This window comes from Homo sapiens, chromosome 3 (assembly GCF_000001405.40).
Source record: "Homo sapiens chromosome 3, GRCh38.p14 Primary Assembly".
NCBI classification, from domain to species: Eukaryota; Metazoa; Chordata; class Mammalia; order Primates; family Hominidae; genus Homo; species Homo sapiens.
In genome coordinates, this window is record NC_000003.12 from 115,280,050 (window position 1) to 115,303,056 (window position 23,007).

At 37.2% G+C, this 23,007-nt stretch overlaps 1 annotated feature.

The window, feature by feature from the left end:
• Positions 4,860–6,059: an enhancer, noted in NCBI's record as "BRD4-independent group 4 enhancer chr3:115003756-115004955 (GRCh37/hg19 assembly coordinates)". NCBI's record gives its function as "activates an origin of replication core promoter dependent on BRD2, P300/CBP, MED14 and CDK7 cofactors, and independent of BRD4, by STARR-seq in HCT116 cells {active_cell/tissue: HCT116}" and the evidence as "EXISTENCE:reporter gene assay evidence [ECO:0000049][PMID:35650434]".

Below are 23,007 nucleotides of genomic sequence, written 5' to 3' on the forward strand. Positions count from 1 at the left end.
TTTAAAAAAAAAAAAGAGAGAAGAAATGCAGAGTCACTTTGGTTGAAATGAATATAGAGGCTTCTGACTAAGCTTTCTTGGACTCCAGAGTTTTGGGGATCTGTATAAATCACATTTAGGAAACCACTAGATGATTTCTACAACTACTGATTGGCCTTACTGATTAAACTTGGTGCCTCAACTTTCCTTTAGTTGTTCCCACACCAAAACATTGTCCACATATTTCTACCCACTCCCTACTCCCTGCCGCCCACATGGATGCTCTGCTTTATCAAGAAACCAAGACATCCCTTTCAGAAGACTTTTTCATCCTTACAAATTTTAAATTCCCACAGTATTTGACTGTAGAACTTTCTGGCTCTAAATTCCATAGAGTAACTGAAGTTACTTGAAAATATACTTCCTATTTGACAAAACCTGCAACTAAGGGGCCTTAGAGTAATCTTGAAAAAAAATTACAAATATGTCAGCTAGGTTTTTGTATGATACTGTCTTTATCTTTAATGTGTTCTGTTTATTTTCTTAATTTTGAAAACCAAGGCCGTATTTTTAGATGCCTCTGGGCACATGTACCAAAATATCTCTGTAAATTCTGCACTCATGTTTCCCTGTTTTTTTTTTAAATGTCTGTTTCTTGTGAAAGCCTGTAAAGACTGTGAAGAACTTCCTTCACAAACAGGGTGCTGTTTCCTCACTACCCATTCTGGCCTAAAATCTCCCCATGCGGTCCTGCTGTGTACTTTGCAGTACTCTGGCTTCAGTCCTAGTCCTATACAGGAAATGTGTGAAATCCTTGCCTCAGTGGCAATATGAGTTCATTTCTTAGAAGCTAAGCCCCGTGCCAGTAATTCCCATTTATGATCCAGTGTCTTATTGTCCCATCTCCTTAGAGTGGGATTCAGATTCTTAAAGTATTTCCTGATTCTTACTACTTGTTCTTGCCACTGGACCCTCCACTGTCTTGAACTATATCAACTGTCCAGCTGATCTCCTAAACTTGATCCTTTCCCTGCCTGAACCCAGGATGCTTTCACAATTGCTTTTTCTTACCTTATCTAAGAACATCTCTATTTTTTCTACTGCAGTCTCATTTTGATGAGTCTTTCCTGTTCTACCCTATCCTTTTCCTGCCCCAAACCTAATTTGACCTCCTTTCCACACAGGGTTTTAAGAGATCAAGATACTGATGCAAATTTCAACATTAGCTTGCAAAATCTCAAAGGTTGCTTTTCTTATCCTGAAACTACCATCCTCCTTTCCCTGTTCCAAAGTCCTTCACAGTGATATGGGGTATTTTAATAAAAAAACAATATTTTCTTAAGCAGCATTAAATGAAATCCCACTTTCAGTACTACTGGTTCTTCTGTTTGCAAAGTTCTCTGTTCTGGTTTCCTTTCCTAAACCCTTTCTTTTGACTACTGCAAAAGTATAGACCAAAGAGGCAACCTAATAAAACAGCTAAGACAAGACTACTAGCTATTTTGCTAAATGTTTTCAAAATCTGATTTATTCTGCACAATATCCCTCTGAAAGAGATACTATTATTATCCACATTTTATAGGTGAGGAAACTCTGAATAAGTTGCCAAGGTCACCCAGCTAATACTTTTGAAACCAGGACTCAAATTTGAACCTTTCTGAATCCAAACCTCACTAAGCTCTATATCATCTCTGACATCAATCTACTACCAAATAGATGGTGACCTTGACTTACTTGCATTTTGAAAACACTTATATTCATTAGTGGTAGAAATATTTATAGACAAATCACTAACCAGAAGGAAATCTGAGAAAAAGAGAAGCATCAGAAAATAGTGTCAAGGGCACCAGTAAGTAGATAAGAGGCTAAGGTTTTAGTTTCAGTTCTTGGGCCAAAAGCTCTCAGGGCTTCTGTTATTTTATTTGTAAAATTAAACCGTTGACTAGATAGGTTCTTAGGATTTGTCTAAAAAATACAAGTATTTGCTTCCTGAGGGGACTAAAAAATTCAGACAGTGTGATCAGTCTCTGCAATTCAATGAGAGCTATAACAGCACTGTACATGAGTTAGGCTAGTAAGTAGAGGTTAATAATTCAAGTCCGTCCAGCTCACTTGTTTGTCCTGTCCTCTCGCTGTGTCAGGGCACCTGCTAAGGGAGTTAACTGAGAACCAGGCAAATGTGGGCAGCAGTGTTACTTCCTAGGACTAATATCACCAAAGTGGCAGATGAAATCATCCACTGAAGAGTCAAATGCATTCCAATCTCTCAGCATGGAAGAGTTGATTCAACCCAAACACACTGGGTTGGGCTCCTGTGGAAAAACAGGAGGTTAAGAGAAGTATCCATAGAAGCTGCTATATTTAAATGAAAGCATAAAAGTGCAAGATGGAAATCTGGAAAACATGTTGTAAAGATTCCTTGGAACACAGCTTGAAGGAAGAGCCCTGGCTGGATATTGTTGAGCAACAAGAGCAGCAGACAGACCATGATATGCAGTAATCAAGAATGAGGATGTCAAGACATCTGTTATTTTGTCTGCTTGGCTCTCCTTCCTTTTAGAATTTGCTTCTCTACTGCACCAAGTGATTCTGATGTGGCCGTCCCTCCTGCCACTGGTGTGGGCAAAAGACTCAAGATGGCCAATCAGAGTATCTCTTTCTCCAGGGCCCAGATACTGATTGTGTAGAGGGAGGTATGAGATCTAAGCAGGGTTTATCAGTACCCTTTGGGGGAAATTGCTATTGTTGCATGAAGAAAGAGAAGATCTTTTTCTGAGTTTATGAGCTGTAAAGATCATTGCAAGGAGGAAGAGAGTGATGGACTCCATTACTTGGAAAGAATAAGCCAACATGAAAGAAAAAAGGGCAAGAGTAGAACACGTGACTAAGAACATGTTTACGCACTTGGACTCAGATGTGTCTAAAACCAGAAAACACCCAAACTTTTCAAACAGATGAGCCAATATATACCTCTCCCACTTGTAGGATGGGTTTTTTTTTTTTTGAGATCTATTTACACGCAGTAAAATTTACTCCATTAAGGTGACTAGTCCTGTGAATTTTGATCAGTGCATAAAGTTTACATAACTACTACCTCAATCAAGACATGGGATACTTCTATCACCCCAGAAAGTTCCCTCACGCCCCTCTGTTATTTATCCCCTTCTCCTGCTCTATCCACTAGCAAACACTAATCTGTTTTTCTGTTCCTATAATTTTGCCTTTTACTGAATGTCATGTAAATGGAAACAAAAGGATATACCCTTTTGAGTATATCACTTCTTTCACTCAGCATAATGCATTTGAGATCTATCCATGTTGTTACTAGTATCAGTATTTTGTTCCTTTTTATTGCTAAGTCATATTTCATTGTGTGGCTATACCACAGTGTGTTTATGCATTCACCAGTTCATGGGCATTTGGATTGTTTCCAGATTTTGGTAATTATGAAAAAAACCACGATAAATAATTGCATACAGATTTTTGTGTGGTCATATTTCCATTTCCCTTGGGTAAATATCTAAGAGTAGGATTGCTGGGTTATACAGTAAATATACTTTTAATGTTATAAGAAACTTCCAAACTGTATCCCAAAGTGGCTGTACCATTTTGCATTTCTGCCAGCAAAAATTCCCATTGCTCATCTTTCTCACCAGTATTTGGTGGTTTCATGGGTTTTTTTTTTTTTTAAATGAATAATTCAATAGGTGTGCAGTGATATCTTATTCTGGTTTCAATGAAAAATGATGTTACACGTCTTTTCATATGCTTATTTGCCATCCACATATCTTTACTGATGTGTCTGATCAAATCTTTTGCTCCTTTTTTATTGTGTTTTTTTTCCCATTATTACATTGTGAGAATACTTTACATATTCTGGACACAAGTCTTTTATAAATTTTATGTTTTGCAAATATTTGCTCTCAGTCTATGACTTGTCTTTTCATTCTCTTAGCAGTGTCTTTCAAAGAGCAGAAGTTTTTAATTTTGAAGTCCTATTTATCTTATTTTATAGGTTTTGGTTTTTGTGTCCTATCTAAAAAATCTTTGCTAAATTCAAGGACATAGAATTAATTTTTTTTTCTTTATAGTTTTAGATTTCACATGTAGAATTATGATCAATTTGGAGTTAATTCTTGTACACAGTGCTTCCCCCTTTTAAAGATCATTTAAATTGAATTTCTGTTCCTGGTAACCAGTGAGTTTTGACTTATATAGATGGAGTCCTTCACATATGTTGAATGAGAAACATGTTAAGAAAGGACTGTCTAGTGTAGATGTATTTCTAAAGGGTATGTCAATTCCTCCCCAAGTTAATTTAATTTCAGTGGAAACCTCATTGTGATTTATTTGCTTGACCTTAACAAAGTGAATTTGTAACTGGAATAATATATGGGAAAGAATAACGTGAATGTTTTAAAAACTAATAGGAATAAAGAGACTGGTCCTATAAGATATTAAAATATAAAGTAACCAACAATAATCAAATCAGTGTGGTCCTGATGCAGGGATCAACAAGAATAGCCTAGATGCAGGTAAGCATATATGTTTTATATATGTGTTAAAAAAAAAGAATTATGCAATAAATTTTGTTGGTAAAATTAGTTTAAAAGAAAATGAAATTATATGCTTACCTAACATCAGAATTCCAAGTGAATTAGATTGAAGTCTGAAAAATGAAAAAAAAAGAAAACTTTTAGGGGCAGATAGTCTGAAATGGGGATACAGAGCTGGCACCTTCTTGATCTTTTCTCAAATCACTTTGCTCTTTTGGGGTGATTTAACTGGATTACATTATTGCTCATATAGTCTGCATCTTAATGTATTGCACCTAGGTCATGTAGAAATATAGATTATATTGGCCTTTGTTGAAAGCAGAAGTGCTTTGCTTTGATGCACAAATTTATTTATGTTTTCTTATTTTTTACTCCTCAGAAGCATTTGTATTCAGGCAAGATTTGTGAGAATATTTTCTCCACCAAAGTAAACACAGCTTATAATATATTCCAGAGGGAGAATTTTCTAATTAACTCCAAGTGTGTGAGGTCTGGAGGCAACATAGAGGGCCTAGATTGGCTGCAGTGTTTCCTGTGAGGTGAAGCCACATTTTTCTTCTCTTCATAGATGCTCCAGCCTGGGGGATTAATGTTTACCTTGATTTAATGTCTCATCAGAAGCATGACATCCACAGCACTCTGGCTGCAGCAGGATTAAATGAAGCATGGCCGTTTCTTCAAGAGAGACTTAAACTTCAAGCCTTTAGCCCTAGAGGGAATGGGCAGGAGATGAAGAGAGAGTAAAAATCTATTGAACTACCAATGATAGAGTGAGAATGAAAAATTTAACCCCCTTTACCACAGGCACAATTCAGGGGCAGAGATGAGGTTTGTACTCAAGAAATCTGGGGGTTGGGCCCAAGTAAGAGGCATGTTTGGGTTTACAGCGAATCTGCTCTAGGAGACAAGGGGCTTAGCAGCCCCTGGCACACCACTACCCCACTCCACACTATTCAGGTGACCTCAAGACAAAGACACAAGCTTTGTCTTTAAGGGAGAAATAAGGTGGATTATGTTCAGTTTTGGGAAATTGAATCCAAAGACTTGTCCAGACAGATTTTGCCAGTGCAGCATCTTCTTTCTCCCAGAAGCAAGCAAATGCATATAAGAAGTGTTAAACTAGGGTAGGGTGAGAGCCAGCCCACCTAGAACTCTGCGCCTGGCAGAGGACCACAGAAGGGCTTTGGGATCTCAGCATCATGGGTTATTCTTTCCACCCCAATCCTAAATTTTCTTGGTTTTCTCGCCAAACCATTAAGGGTCTGCTGCTGATGGAATAATTTACAAATTTCTTATAACCCTTTGTGTTTTTAGCTAGTACTATCTCTGTGGGATAATGAGTTCTTTAAATCCACTCAATACTGTGTAAAATCATACTTCTTATTTGTCTTAAAATTAACCCCTTTCAAGTTTCAGGAGGTGGAGGTAAATTCTTACATGTCAGAGTATTGAGACCCTCATGTTCATTCTCTTTGAATGTTATGACTTCATGGGCTTCTATCCAGCCTTTTATGTGGTCACCACTCTGCTCTTCTTCCTCCATGGAGTTGATTATTTTAATTATTTCTTTTTTTCCTTTAATTTCTGGCATACTCTCTTTCTGTCTCTCTCTTTCTTATTTAGTTGTGTCAAAGAAAATTATACATGGTAGGAATTTAGACCGTGACCCTTCAAACAGTTGTGTTTTATTCCCTTCTATTTCAGTCAATGCTTAGCTCCATAAGAGACGGTGAACCTGCAGAAAAAACATGAGCTTAAGAGTCATCAAGATTTAGGATTAAATCATCCATTTACTACCTATATGACCTTGTGTAACTAAGCTTCGGTTTTTTTTTAACCTGGGATAATATATTCATCTTGATGAGTCATTGTGAACATTACATTATTTGAAAAACATTGGGTATGTAGTTTAATATTATTATAATAATAAGATGAACTAATCTAGTTTTTAAAACAAATCAATGAAAGTGTCAAGACAGGGTCTGATTTGTTATCATGTCTATCATTTACTTTTATAAGAAGTTAAAAAGTCCAGGGAGGCCAGGTAAGTGGTGAGAACAGACTTTGCTTGACCAGCAGGAACATGGTAGAGTCACTGACTAATAATAACAGACATAGCTCATTACTTCCCCATAACTGACAGTAGCAGTCTGCAGGAAACATAATGATGGGAATCTTCATCAGAATGAACCTAGAAGGTTGCCTAGCACAGCTTATTTACATGGGCTAATGCTTGCTATCGTAATCTACAACCCTAAGGAAACTGTCCCTAGCACAACCATTCCTATTAATTTATTAAGAAGGCTTGACCAACCTAGTGGAGAGCTCTTGAGCAAGAATTGCACATAAGCATGTCACCATTTGGATTGAAATTGCTGGGACTCTCTATCCCCATCTCACTTAGTCACTAAATGTGGCACGATCTTGGGAGAGGCAATTATTAGCACCTGAGATATGAAACCTAAAGGAGCTAACAGTTGAGGCTGTGTGTTAACTGCATTCTCCATAGCTGGGCAGCAAGTCATTCCTTGAAGGAGGTCTAGGTAGCACATCTTCTTGTCCACCACAATAAGATATTATCTACAAAATATAGTCTAGTGATTTCTATGTCTTTATTCCTACTTCTATAAAATCTCTGGCCAAGTTTCAACATGCATTAATTATTGCTATGTAATAAAACACTCCAACATTTAGTGTCTTACAGTGGTAATAATTTAGTATTTCTCGTGATTTTCTGAGTTGGCTGCATTAACTGAGTAATTCTTCTATTGGTCTTGCCAGAGGTCATTCATGTGGTTGTAGTCCTGCTCCCTCTTAGTCATGGATAGAGAGTCTAAGATGGCCTTATTCACGTGTCTTGGGCCTTAATACTGGCTGTTGACCTGGTCTCTCTTTCTCTCTCCATGTTACCTCTCATTCAGTAGTTTAGCTGCTTTTTTACATGGAAGCAGTAGTGTTCCAAGAGGTGATGAATCTGGAAGCTGTGGCCCAGACTCCAGAATTGGCTACATTCTGTCAGTCAAAGAAAATTATTAGACTACTAAGATCCAGGGGGTGGGGGAAAATAAACTACCACTTATTGGTAAGAACTGTAAAAGATTGTGGTTCAATTTTTTCAGTCTATCACCATCTGTTCTCCAGTTTTCAAATGCAAAATATGTCCTCTCACCCAGCTGCAGAGTTACTCCCATTACAGCACAACTATCAAGTTTAAAGTCCACGGTCTCAATGTAGCTTAGAATAGAACTTGATTGTTTCCTTTGCCATAGATATGGTTGTACCAAAGACATCTGCTATCTAAGAATTGCCATTCTTAAGATACAAACTCTTCTGATGTCCTCAGTGACAAAAGTTACTGCCTAATTTCTGTATAGAGTATGGCTGATTTTTCTGGGTGACTTTTATATTCAAAGATACCTATCAAGGAAACATTTTTAGATCTGCTGTAAAGACTATAGACACAACTCACATCTTACGTTATTAAACACCAGGGCTTACATTATAGAAAAATCCCCGGCCTGCTAATGTCAAATAAAATTGTGAATTTGATCAACTGGTGTGGCAATTAGGTCTTTCAGATAGTTTATTCCATGAATAAATCTTATTTAAGCCAAAAATTAAAAAATAATTGTTTGCTAAGTTTACGTTGAATGCTAGCTATTAAAAAGCTAGCTAACTGTTCAAGAAAAGTTAAGAAGAGGGGTTAATTTTTTAACCAAATAAACCAAAGCATGCTGGATGATTCAAAACTTACTGTATTGTCTACATCAATGGTGGGAAAGTATGTTGATGGGAGAGACATTTAAAATTTCTGGTTCCATTGACTTTTTGGGAGTTATGAACACATGAAGAATCTCATGATAGCCATGAATGCTTTTCCCAGAAAAACTCTCATAAATTCAGGATTTGGGGATTCATAGATCTCTTAAAGTCTTCTATAAGAATTCTATAGTTCTTCTTTTTTTTTTTTTTTCTGAGATGGAGTCTTGCTCTGTTGCCCAGGCTGGAGTGCAATGGTGCCATCTTGGCTCACTGCAACCTCCGCCTCCCAGGTTCAAGTGATTCTCCTGCCTCAGCCTCCTGAGTAGCTAGGTCTATAGGGGTGCACCACAACACCTGGCTAATTTTTGTATTTTTAGTGGAGACTGGGTTTCACCATGTTGGCCAGGCTGGTCTCGAACTCCTGACCTTGGGTGATCTGCCCACCTCAGTCTCCTAAAGTGTTGGGATTACAGTTGTGAGTCACTATGCCCAGCCAGCTATAGTTCTTAAAATTTAGAATTCCTATGAATCAGCTGAGGTGCTCATCAACAAAGGTAGAGTGTCAGGCTTCAGGCTTTAGTTCTTGTAATTGGAATAGGCCTTGGTAAGGACAAGAAAAATGTATGTTTAACAAAAATGCTAGATGATTTTGATGAAGATTAGTTTTAGTTGCAATTTGAGAAAACTAGGAGCTCATAAAACCCCCAATTAAAATATTTGATCTTTCTGGATATACATTGAAGAGACTAAAAACAGCACATGAATTATCTTTTTCGTTTCCTTTGATCTCAGTCTGCTTTACTTGAGTCTCAGGGATTCAGCTATTACATCTGGCTGAGCTAATGACGACACTGAAGTAGACTTCAATTGGATGAAGTTGTCTTTGTGTACATATATAAATAAAATATGGACTACTTGGTTACTTATTTGCAGTTTTAAAATCTTGATTTCTTGATACCTCAAACTGCTATTGAAGATACAACTATTTACTGTCTCCAAATGATCTTCTAATGGCTGTTAATTTAAATGTATTCATTTTCACATAGTTGGAATCAATGTGTTGGTTTGCTTCTTTCTTGTAACATTTCCCCATATGCTGGGCTGTAGTTATTTCCATGTATCAACACTATCCACATACTTTTTATTTTTTTATTTTATACAGTCACAATATTCTGTGCTGGTGTGTCAAAATATATTTAGTTTTTATTGGTAGTCTTTGGGGATGTAGTTTCTATTTAACATCGGCTGTATGCAGTGGTAACTTTTTAAAAATTTTGTCACTCAGGCTGGAGTGCAGTGATGTGATCACAACTCACTGCAACTTCCAACTACTGGGCTCAAGTGATACTCTTACCTTAGCCTCCCAAGTAGCTAGGACTACATGTGCATGCCATCACACCTGGCTAATTTTTCTTTTCTGTAGGAACAGGGTCTCACTATGTTGATCAGGCTTGTCTCAACCCCAGGCCTCAAGCAGTCCCCTCATTTCAGCCTCCCATAGCATTGGTATCACTGGTATTAAAGGAATGAGTCACCATGCCAGGCCCTCCCCTCTTTAAAAAAAAAAAATAATTATTGTGAGCAGGAATTATCAAATGAAAATAACGTGACACCAATCTTGAAAGATACTTAGGCCTCACACTGATGCATAATTAGCCCACAGAAAATGGTCAATAAATTGAACCCAAAATGTTGTCAACGAGTTAACACAATTTTAGGCATTACTGTACATTGTGAGTTTAGATTTTTGATAGGAATATGGCAACTAGAAATAGATTAAAAAGAAGAGTTGGTGAGTGGCTCCTCCCAGAAAAAATATATCAACTGTATACAAATTTATGAACTTGAGGTTCTAAGCATGGCAGAAGGCAGTTGGATGATATAGAAAGAGAGTTAGGTTGAAATGATATTGTGTGATATCTTCTTGAACAGACAAAATATGCTTCTCTATGGCAGATTATAAAGATAGATATTTGTGTTGCAGGAAACTTCAGCTTTTTTGAAATCTGTTGGAAGTCTAATTTGGCTAAAAAGAGGGGATCTGATAAACTTTTGACAAGGAGACTATTTTATTATGAAAGTAAGACAGTCAACTTAGGCAAATACCATCCTGGACTTGATTTTAACTAAGAAGGAAAAACTGATTATTAAGGAAACAGTAAATGCCTAATATAAAGAAAGGGAATGCTGGTTTGTTTATTCATGTGCCATAGACTTTGCCAGCCAATTGCTAAAAAGTTTCCTTGAGACTCTAGAAGGGAAATAGATGATGAAGGGTGGAAAGTTCTATAAGTATAATTCTGACTGTACAAACATTTTGAATAGTTCAATGAGGAGGGCAAAAGAAAGGCATCTAAGGAAAATAATGTGGTTGCATAGGTATTTCATTCTAAGTTGTTTCATAAAAGACTTTTACAAAAGATATAAAGAGAGACATATAATGAAAGAAAAGTATAAAAATATGACAGGAATGTGAGAAAAACACCAAGAAGATTAAAGCTCAAGTGAGGCAAATGAGGTGAGCTATAGAGAGAGAGAAAAAAGGATGACAAAAATGATTATTTTAACTATGTAGAATAAGAAGAAATTGTAGGTTTATGGCTTCTAAGAATGGTGCAGGAAAACATAAGACTTACAGATGATATTTCAGTCCTTTAAGGGAGATGATGGTAATGCCAGAAAATATGAACTAAACAACTTAATTTTAATTCTTATCAGCATTTGGGATTGGATTTTTTAAATAGATGGCTTGTGAACCTTTGGAAAAGAATGCGATGATCACTAGCAATCAATATACATTCATGAAGAACTAGTGAAGCCATATCACTTTAAAATAGTGATTGGTGGTAATTCAGGAAAGAGTAATTGCTTTAGCACTTCTTGATTTCAGTGAAGGGTTTGATAATTTTTTGTTGTTATTTAGAGTAAAATGGTAAAACACTTCATAGATTAGTAAGTGAATTAATAACTTGTAGTCTAACAGTTGCTCTTCAATATTTAAGGAGGGAAGTCTTCATTTTACTAGGAAATGGCTCTGTCTTTGACATTATCCAGTTCAAAATTTATACTAGTGACTTGAATGAAGGAATATATTGCGTACTATGTAGCACACATGGGTTATATATAAAACGAAATCCGACTTAGACAATTTTGTGTAGGATGTTGCTTACTCAGATTTGACTCCCAGGTGCCACAGATGAATCTGAGTCAGGTAGAGACACACTAAACTATAAAGATAACCTGAAGGATTTGTGGACTATTCCTAACACTCAATCTGTGAAAAGAACTGCTGAGAGTTTACCCTCATGTTAGGCTGAATAATGGCCCCTCAAAGATATCTACATCTGAATCCTTGGAACCTGTGAGTTTGTTACCTTACGTGGAAAAAGCACTTTGCAGATGTGATTATGTTAAGCACCTTGAGATGGGGAAATTATCCTGCATTATCTGGGTGTACCCAGTGTAATCCCAAGCATTCTTAAAAGAGGGACCCAGGAGAGTCATAATCAGACAGGAAGATGTGGAGAGTGAAACAGAGGATGGGGGAATGTGGGCAGCCTCCAGAAGCTGCAATTGAAAAGGAAGGGGAGTCCTTCCCACAGCTTCTAGAAGGAACAAAGCCATGGACTTTCAATCTCCAGAGCTGTTCGATAACAAAGTTATGTTGTTTCAAGCAACCCAGTTTGTGGTAATTTATGACAGCATCAAATGGAAATGAACATACCCATATACAAAAAACTAAAGGACATATGATAAGAGCTGATATAAATTTCCACTTTCTCCTCAGAGGGGAACAGGTGATAACCATTAACTAGTGGGCCTAAAAGAACTGTCCTCTATCTTAAACCCACCTCTACATATCTTACGTTGCTCTTGTTCCATTTTGTTCTACCATGGCATAGCTGATTCTTGCTTCAGTGCCCTTATTACTGGCACTATGCTAAATTTTACTTGGTGGAAATACAGCTTTTCAGTGTTGGCATCTCATCAGATGGTTTTTTGCCAAAGGCTTTGTTTCCTCCAAATGCTAGAACTACCTATAGGCTTTTGTAGCTGTCTCCCTAGTACAAATATGTTCTGCATTAAAAAAAATTGTGTGAAGAGCCCTGTGCTTTGGCACCATCGTTCTTGGTGCACTATGTCAATAGGAGGAAAATTTTAAATCCCCTTGGGAAAATAAGGCACTCAGTTGAAAAAGAAACCTAATCAGAGTGATTTCAAGTCTGGATGGGGAAAATTATACCAGTAAAATGTGAGGTGTCGAGCCTATGGATGATAGAGGAGAGGTAATGGAAGTAACACTAAGAACCAATTCTTTTCATGATGAATCACCCAAACAACCAAGGCCATTTTTAATACTTCAAATGAAGGGATAACAGTCATCTCCACAGAGAAGAAAAGGGGGGTATCCTGTCATAGAACCACCTCCATCATTGAATACTTTATGGGGTTAGTAATTTATTCAAAAATTCATTGTCAAGTTTAACTACCTTGGTCCAGCCCTTCGAGTCTGAATCAAAAGATGACACCTTCACAAAAGCCAGAAGTCATAATAAAGGCATGTTTTACATTCAGACAGCAATCCAGTGGGTAATCACCACCAATGTTCCCATAAAAAAGGAGATAATGCCCTCTTTGTGAGCAAGGGAATAAAACTGTCAGATTTCTACCAACACCACAGTCTCGAGAATTCTCAATACAACATAAACTGCTCATGAAAGGGTGATAGAACCACACACCATCATAAAAAAAATTTAATTTGGAAGACCACCATATAACCTAAAACCCAGACATAATGCAAAATAAGCTTTGGTTATATAGAAATTTAGTCACTGTACAGACCATTTTACAACAATATCTGGCTTTTTGCAGCATGAAAGGTTATGTCTAATTTAGGTTGAAGAATCATCCAATGGTTTTTTCAAAGTATTCAAAAATAAGTTTGGGGCAAAGATACAAAAATAGTATTAATATTTTACCCAAATAAATATTCAGCTCAATTAATAGCACCAACGATACAAGCCCAGTCAGCAGCTTTCCAAGTAATAGGGTGAAGTGGCTAAATTGGAAATAAAAAATACCTGATCAGTCAATAGTGCCAGAACTGGCCAGTTTGAGGCCTAGTCCCTACTGCTGCCAAAACTCACAGCTGAATCTATTTAGTCTCCATCAGCATTCTTAGCTCTGCCCTAGTTAGGTTTCTATTATTAGTCAAGGGAATTATAAGAAACTATAGGCCAGTTACTTAGAAGCATGTATCAAGACAAATGTCAAAGCCAGTTCTGTAGTGAAAAACTTGCCTGATCTTACCAAGCAAAGTTAGTTTCAAAAAGGCCCTTCCAACCTAGCCAATTGGGAATTTTTTTTACTCCCCATTCAGTTCTCCAATTAGAATATAAAGAGGGCATTTCCTTAGCATGTCAACAAACAGTGATCAAATACTGATAATAAGGAATGTAAAAATGAGATCACTAAGCACAGTCAGCCCTCTGTATATGTGGGTTCTGCATCTGTGGATTCAACCAACTGGGTATCAAAAATATTTTTTAAAAATCCACAAATTTCCAAAAAACAAAATTTGAATTTGCACGAAGAACTACTTTGAATCCAAGCAAATGAAGTGATGTGTAGGCATTGTATTAGGTGTTATAAGTAATCTAGAGATAATTTAAAGTATATGGGAAAATGTGCATAGATTATACGCAAATATATTTGATATAAGATGAGCATCCACAGATTTGGTATTTGCAGGGATCGTGGAACCCCATGGATACTGAGGGGGCAACTGTACTTTATTATTGGGGAGGATGGGCAAGAGAATCCTTTCAAAATTTGTGGAGGATATTATTTGAATGCCCTGCAATTGAATAGACACAAGCCACAATGTTCTCACCTGGGACTGCCCCGAAGCCCACATTAACTGCTGATCTTGATAGTTATCTGCCATAATGTCTCTGACCGCTCCCTCACAAATCTTGTTAGTTGTTAAGACTCAGCTTAGATGTTATTAACTCTGAGAAGACAAGACTTCCTGCCTTGGGCTGGATGCTGTCTTGAGGAGCTCCTATAGAATGCTGTACTCTTTCTGTTCCCTTTCTGGTATCATTGCCAGTTTATTGTTTCACCTACTGGATTAAACCATTTAAGGGACTGTCATTTTGATAAATGCATTTATAACAATCCTGACACATTGTAGATGCACAATGATTTGTTGAGTGAATCAAAAAATGAGTGCATGTAGGACTTCCCCATAAGCCAGAACAGAACAGACATCTGAAAGGGTAAGTTTCTTAGCAATAGCCTCTAAAGATAGGGCTTTAGCATTTAATGGTCTCTACTAGAACACAGGTGCCATTAAGGCAATGACTTAGTTGCTTTATTCATTACTGTGTTACCCTAGCACAAAGAAAAGCATCTGACATATAGTAGCTACTCTGTAGATGTTAAATGAATGATTAAGTATAAATTAATAAACAGAGACATTTGAAATAACACCCTATTTCAAAAAAATCTATGAGGAGCATCTCAGATGACCATAATTATAACTTGAATTGTATTTTACAGTTCCAGAAATATACTTATTTACTTTAATTGTATTAACAACTTGTTTTGTGGGTTTTATTATAACAACTCCCATTTTGCAGATAAAGGCCTTGAGCTGAGGGAATGGCAGAGTCAGAACAGAAACCCTGATTCTATGATTACAAACTTTGGGATCTTTTCACTAAACTGAACTTTCTCAATCCATGACCTTAAACTTAATGATCAGGTCTTAAAAAGAGCCTCTTTTCAACTGTTGTCTTTCAAATATGGACATCTGAAAAATCTGGTCACAAAATGACTAGAAATAAAAATAAATCACTATGGTTCCCTGAATATCATAAAAGAAAGGTGGTATAAGAAACCATATCTGGAGTACAATTCTCCTCTCTAAAAACAGTAGAAAATCAACAAAAAAGATTAACTGTGAGACATTCCTTTGAAAAGACAAATATGATTTTTAACTAATTGGGTGAAACTGTCAAATGCATGTCTTCAGTGACAAGCAGCTGACAAGTCTTGGAATAATCCAGAAAGAATATATTATTTGTAGGTGTTAATATAAGCACTAATTATTTGTAACTGTCTTGTAGGTAATAATAAATGGTGATGACAGGTTGGGAAAAAAATTGTAAGGATTTTATTCTTATTTACTATTTAGGAGAAGATGGCATCAGTTCAACTTCTAGATGTGCAAATAAATGACTGGAGTTGAATTTGTAATCAGATCCTCTGTCTCTTCATCCAATCAGTGATACGTTTAAAGTCATTGTCTGAAATACGTACTGTATGATTTTGGTAGGCTGAATAATGCCCTCTTCCAGAAGATGTCCACATCCTAATACCTGGAACAGATAAGTGTTATCTTATGTGGCAAAAAGGAGTTTTGTGGGTGTGATTAAAGTAAGGATTTTGAGATGCAGAGATTGTTTTGGATTATCTGAGTGGGCCCTAGATGCAATCACAAGTATCCTTATAAAAGGGCATAAAGAAACTCTTTCATCCAGAGGGAGATTTGACACAGACAGATGAGGGGAAAGCAACGGTAACAACAGAGGCAGAGACTACAGTGAAGCATTCACTCCAAATGTGAAGCATTTACTGGCCAAAGAACACCTGCAATTCCCAGAAGCTGGAGGAGGCAAGGAACAGGTTTCCCGCTAGAGCATCTGAAGAGAGGGTGGCCTTGCTGACATGTTGATTTTAGCCCAGTAAAACTTATTTTGGACTTCTGGACTACACAATTGTGAAATAGTAAATTTCTATTGTTTAAGCTACCAAGTTGGTGCTACTAAAGCAATGCCTTGACTTAGCTAAGGGAGTTTGATAGAATTAATGGGGGACAAGAGCCTTTAAACCTGACTGTGGTCTTGAAAATGGGAAATCATCTCCTCATTATTAGAAGAGGACTCACTCTGTTGTTACCCTTCAATAAAGAATTCAAATTGGATTTGAACATTTTTAGGGTTAACAAATGAGGCAACCGAGTGCCAAACATGATGCAGAGAATAGTTTCATGTCAAATGGTGTCCACTACAAAGTTGAGAGATGACTCTTGGGTTTTTAGCTTGGGCAAGTAGGGGCCATGGAGGAGACTGTTGGAAAAACCAATTGAGTTAGTGTGAGCAGGAGTAGAAACTGAGAGTTTTGTTTTGGACACATGAAATTTAGGGTCTCTGTTAGATACCTAAGTACTCATACCAAGTAGGCATATGAACATATAAATTGGAAACTCAGAGACGATATCGAGACAGGAGACAAACATTTGAAAATAATAAGCACAGAGTTGAAACAGGGCAAATGTTGGAAATCTGATTTACATTTTTCTTCTGAGTATCTAATATACTGATGCTAATTTTATTGATCAGAGTCTTATTTTAAAACAGTATTACTGTTCTGTGCCATTTTTGCAACACTCTTTTGCCAAATTAAGATTATGCAAAATATCATTGAATTCCTTTTTCCATTCATCCTTTAAAAACTGTGATGCTCAATGAAGTCATTTACACACAAGTGAAATGCAAGAAAATCTATCCACGCTACGTAGCTTTTTCTCACTAAAGTTGACAGGGATCTGAGCATTAAGTTTTAGAAGCGTTTTTAAAGAAAAAATCAACAGGGAGTACAGACAGACCCATTGCTAAAATAATCACAGAAATTAAAAAATAGAATACCATGATAAGAATCATGGTACTGCATGTAATTATACATTTTTTACTTTAGAAAGTTAGATATTTCCAAAAGCTAACTCTTATAAGATAACTTTCTGTAGTGAACTACTAAAGATAGTACAGAATTTGTTGTGTTAACTGAATGATTTTTTGTTTTTGTTTTTTGAGGCAAGGTCTCACTCTGTCACCGAGGCTGGAGTGCCGTGGCATGAACACAACTCACTGCAGCCTTGAACTCTTGACCTCAAGAGATCCTCCTGCCTCAGCCCCCCATAGCTGGGACTACAGGCCTGCACCACCATGCGTAGCTAATTTTTTTGTATTAGCTTGCCATGTAGCCCAGGCGTGTCTCAAACTCCTGGCTTTAAGCAATCATCCTGCCTTGGCCTCCCAAAGTGCTGGGATTATAGGCATGAGCCACTGTGGTCAGGTGATTTTTTTTAAGTAGATAAAAATACACTAGAGAAACTCTTTCCTTATGACATCCTCACTAAGACTACTCAAGTCTATGGGTAATATGATGTGTGCTGTAGTTGTGGTGCACAAATATGGTCATATAATTTTATATTTTGAATTAACCACTAGAGCCTCTACTTCTGTTATAGCAGCAAATCAAGACTTCCTGAAGAATCACAAGACTTACTGTTATAATCTAGTTACACAGTCCTACAGAGGGATTTGCCTAGCATTCTCCTGTGGAAAGAGAATTGGGGTCTGGTTAATTTATGACTATTGTGGGTTCTTGCTGCAAAATGGAGCACAGATGAAGGCTGTCTGGCTATGCTTATCCAATGCTCAGAGTAGGGAGTCCCATGCTTGAGGCTCTGAGGCTTCAGCCTTAGCGCTCAGTTTAAAGTTATATTCCAGGGATTGCCTGGTGCTGGCATTCCCTTTCTGTTACTTACCAGTGGATCAGAATGCTTTTCTTTCTAAATCTTTCAAATTAAGTGATTTTATATCAATTTTCCATTAAATAGCGGGGTTATTTAACCCTCCTCAGCAAGGCTATTCTTAATGAGTCCATGGTTGTCTTAGTCCTTTTGCTGTTGTTTATAATAAAATGCCTGAAACTGATAATTTGTAAAGAAAACAAATGTATTTCTTATAGTTATGTAGGCTGAGAAGTCCAAGGTTGAGTGGCTGCATTTGGTGAGGGCCTTCTTGCTGGGAGGAACTCTGCGGAGTCTTGAAGTGGTATAGGGCATCACATGGTGAGAGGGTTGAGCATGCTAGCTCAGGTCTATCTTCCACGTTTTATAAAGCTACCAGCCCACTCCATGGTAACCCATTAATTCATTAACCCATTAATCCATGAATTGATTAATTCGTTCATGAGGGCAGAGCCCTCACACCACTTTGTCATCTCTTAAAGGCCCTACATCTCACTACTGCCATGTTGAAGATTAAGTTTCAACCTGAGTTTTGGAGAGGAAAAACATTCAAAACATAACAATGGTTCTGAAGGTGGCCATTGTCAGAGAGTCAAAAATGCTTTATCCTTCAAAGGGAGACTTTACAAGTGATTTTTGAAGGTTTTTTTTCTCCTTACCCACTGTAAGAGAGTTACAGTTTAGCCCCTTTCGGATCATTCCATTTCATGAAGAATTTGAAATAAATTCTAGCTTTAAAAAGTAAAATACGAACTACAAACAGTTTCTTGAAGAAATTTTCATGATTTTCTAAATCTGGCAAAGATTTCAAAAGTGTTCTGGATATAATCTAGAAAAGAATGACTTTTAATAAGGAAGTTCCATCTCACCATATTAATCAGTCAATGCCACATTACTCTATGTACATTTAAAAATAATAGCAAATTGAAGAAACACCTGTCTGTGCCACGCCAGAGAAACTGATTTCAGACTTGCCCTCACACTGTAATCAAACAGAAAATTGGGGGAAAAAAGGACACACAAATCGTTTAGAAAAAAGATGCTGAAATAAAAAAAAAAATACTAAAGGTCAAATCTGGGCTAGAATGATAATTTAGATTAACTGGAAGCCACAGATACAAGAGAAGTCTGTACACATTTACAAGCTCTTTCCCATGGGTCTGCACTGGATTCTCATGAAAAACACTGGGAGCAAGGCAGGTGAGCAGAGAGAGATCCTTTATATATAAAACCCACCCATTTGCCTGGACCTTTCTCTTTTATGAAGCAAAGGCTGCTTGGTGAGGAGCAGAAAACCGCCTTTCTCCAAGAGACGAGGTAAAGATGCACTGTTTCTCGTGGGGAGTGTAAAGGACAAGACTGCCTGCTCTGGGGGAGAGTAGAAAACTCTTTCACTCTGGACTCAGATAAAGAAACACCACTTGTGAAGGAGGCATAGGAACAAAAGTTCCTAGCCACATGATTCTACACTGATATCACAGGGGGAGCAATAGAAAACACTCTTAAAGATACAAATTAGAGTTTGCATGAAGATAGCCCAGAAAGTTTGACATCATAGGCCCAGGCAAACAAAGCCTGCCCAAGACATAGTCTGGACTCTGGTAATGGAGAAAAAAATCCTGCCTTTAATACAAGTCCAATACTGAGTAATAAGCAATAGGTTTCTAATTCTGGGGTTGAAGCCAGGGCCTTGAAAGAGACCCCTGTGTTGTTCAGGTGAACTGGGACTACCAAAAGCTGATATGGAGCAGGAACACTGAGAAAAACCCTTGAGCACCTTAGATCCCACATTAAGCACTAAGTAACATCACTCTCTGTTGGAGGAATTTGAAGTCTGTGTTTTACTGAAGGTGTCTCCAACAATGACAAAGAATTGAAAATTCAGCCCAGTGCCTGATTAACCCCAGACTAAATGCCTGACAAAAAAAAGACATGCCCATTTCCAGGTTAAATACTACTTTGCGCAGCCTGTTTTTCTTCTACATGTGAGGGACGCCATTCAAATTACGAAATAAACAAAATTGTCAGTACATAAAGCAATCAACAGAACCAGACTCAGAGATGGCCCTGATGTTGCAGTTAGTATACAGCAACTTTTAAATAACTATAACTAATATATTAAAAGATATAGTAGAAAAGGTAAGCAACACGCGTGATGGGGAATTTCAGCAGAGACAGAAAGTACAAAAAGGAGTTAAATAAAATCCTCAAAATAAAAAAAATCAGATAAAAAGGATTAGTATTAGAAGCCCATAGATCCTTATCCAAAATTTTGTTCAGATGCCCTGACTGGTGATACCATGCACATACAAAGGGTGCATGAAATGTTTATTACTTACATAATGAGAAAGATTTATGGTAAGTTTTCATGGTGGATTTTATTTTATGGTAGTTTTTACTTTGTAACAATAAGTTTATTTTATGTTGGATAAGTGGCAGGAGCAACGTGATGGTTTCTGCCCTTGGGCTGTGGCTTGTGTGTTGTATATGAACCTCCCATCAGCACCAAAGGAAAGAGCACTTGTGTTTTCCTCTCAGCCTGCACAGCTGTGGGGAAGAATGAAAAGGAAGGTATGAAGCTCAAAAGTTGTCAACAATCAAACATCAAAAAAGATAGAGTATGTTGTTTTGTTTTTGTTGTTGAGATGGGGGTCTCTCTCTGTCAACATGCTGGAGTACGGTGATGTGATCATGGCTCATTGCAGCCTCGACCTCCCAGGCTCAGATAATCCTCCTACCTCAGCCTCCTGAGTATCTAGGTCTACAGGCAAATACCACTATGCCTGATTAATTATTAAATTTTTTGCCCAGGCTGGTCTTGCGCTCGTGAGCTCAAGCAATCCACCTGCCTCAGCCTCCCAAAGTGCTGGGATTACAGGTGTGAGCCACTGCTGCTGGCCCAACCTTCTTTATTACAGAAGCTTATCAAAAGAGTTGACACAGAAGATAAGGTAATTGGTAAACTTAAAAATAGGACAACTAAAATTATCTGAAGTGAAGCATAAACAGAAAAAAATGTGAAAAGAAAGAATAGATTATCCAAGAATTGGATAATATCTAATGGTGTAATGTTCATGTGATTGGATTTCCACAGAGAGGAGAGAAAGAGTAAAGAAGGAGAAATAATAATGACTGAGAGTTTTCCCAAAATAATGAAAGGCAATATATTACAGATGAAGGGGCTCAGTGAATACCAATGAGGATAAATACAACAACAAATCTCTCGCTCTCTCTCCCCCACACACACACACACACACACACACCTACACCCCTACACCTAGACTCATCACAGTAAAAATAATGAGAATGAAACATAAAGAGAAATCTTAAAGACAGGCAGAGAAGCCACTAACAGTGCATTTAGAGGAACAAAAATAAGAATTTCAACACACTTCTCCTAACAAATATGCAAGCCAAAAGACAATGGAGAGGCATAATAGAAGTACCAAAAGGAAAAACTGATCAATAGAATTCTATATCCAGAGGAAAAAAAAAATTTTTTTTTTTGAGTTGAGGTTTCACTCTGTTGCCCGAGCTTGAATGCAGTGGCGTGATCACTGCTCACTGCAGCCTGGGCTTCAGCGATCCTCCCACCTCAACCACATCAGTAGCTGGGACTACAGGTGTGTGCCACTGTGCCTGGCTAATCTTCAAATTTTTCATAGAGGCAGTGTCTTGCCATGTTGCCCAGGCTCCTCCTACCTTGGCCTCTCAAAGTGTTGGGATTACAGGCGTGAGTCACTGTGCCTGGCCCCAGAGAATACATGTTTAAAAAATGATGTTAAATAAAAATATGTTTAGAGTAAAAACAAAAAAAAGTGAAAATTTATTGCCAGCAGAACTGTGCACCAAGAAATATTAGAGAAATTTCTTTATACAGAAAGAGTATGATACCAGATGGAAATCTGAATCTGTACAAAAATAGAAGAGCCCTGAAAATTGTAAAACTGATAATAAATAAAAGAAAATGTTCCTTAGTTTATAAGAACTTTAAAAGATAAATGTCTAAATAAAAATAGTAACAATGTATTCTGAGGCTTCTATCATGTAGAAATGAATTGAATGACAGCAATAATACAAAGACTAGAAGAGAGGAAATGGAGGTATATTGCTTTAAGTTTCTTATTCTATACATGAAATATTATCATAGTATTTGAAAGTAGATTATGATAAATGAAAGATGTGTTATGTAAATCTTAGAGCAACCACAAAAAGTACAGAGAAGTTAAGCTGAAATAAAGCATCTAACTCCATTTAAAAATGTTTGTTGACAGATTTTAAGCCTCATTCCCTTATCTTCCTCTTCTGCCCACTTTTGGGCAAGCTAATAAGAAATTCTAGGTGCTCCTTCCTTTGGCACTTTGCGAAGTTCAAACCACACAAGCCCTGCCCACTGTGCAGGAACCATTACCCCAACACCACCATCTAACCACCACAAAAACTCCAAGCTAATCTCCTTTCTCTGCTCTTTAATGCCATTTTCAGACTTTCTGGGGGGCTTCCCTGCTCTCTGCAGATAGCCTTAAATATGAATAATAATCTTTTCTTACCTTTTGGTGTCTGTGGGCCACTGTTAGTCTCGACATCTGAAGCAATTTTTGGTTGGGTGTCCATCATATTTCTGCAGGTTGGTCAAAAGATAAGTCAATAGAGGAGATAATATGCTATAAAAAGAATACATAATTGATCCAAAAGAAGGTAATGAAAGAGGAATAAAGAAAGGAAGAGTAGATGGAACAAGTGGAAAACAGAAAGATTATAGATTCAAATACAACATATCAATCATTACATTAAACGAAAATGGTTTAAAAACTCCAATAAAAAAGCAAGACATTATTATAGGTTGTATACAAAGAACCTGCTTTAAATATACAGCCATGATTAGGTTAAAAGTAAAAGGATGAAAAAATATATACCATGGAAACCCTAATGAAAAGAGGGTGGAGTGGCTATATTAATAAAAAACAAAGTGCACTTTGGAACAAGACATATCACCAGGGATAAAAATGGGCACTCCACAATAATAAAGTAATTAATTCGTAAAAACGATTCTAAATGTGTATGTATAAACAACCATGCTTCAAAATACTTCAGGGGAAAACTGATAGA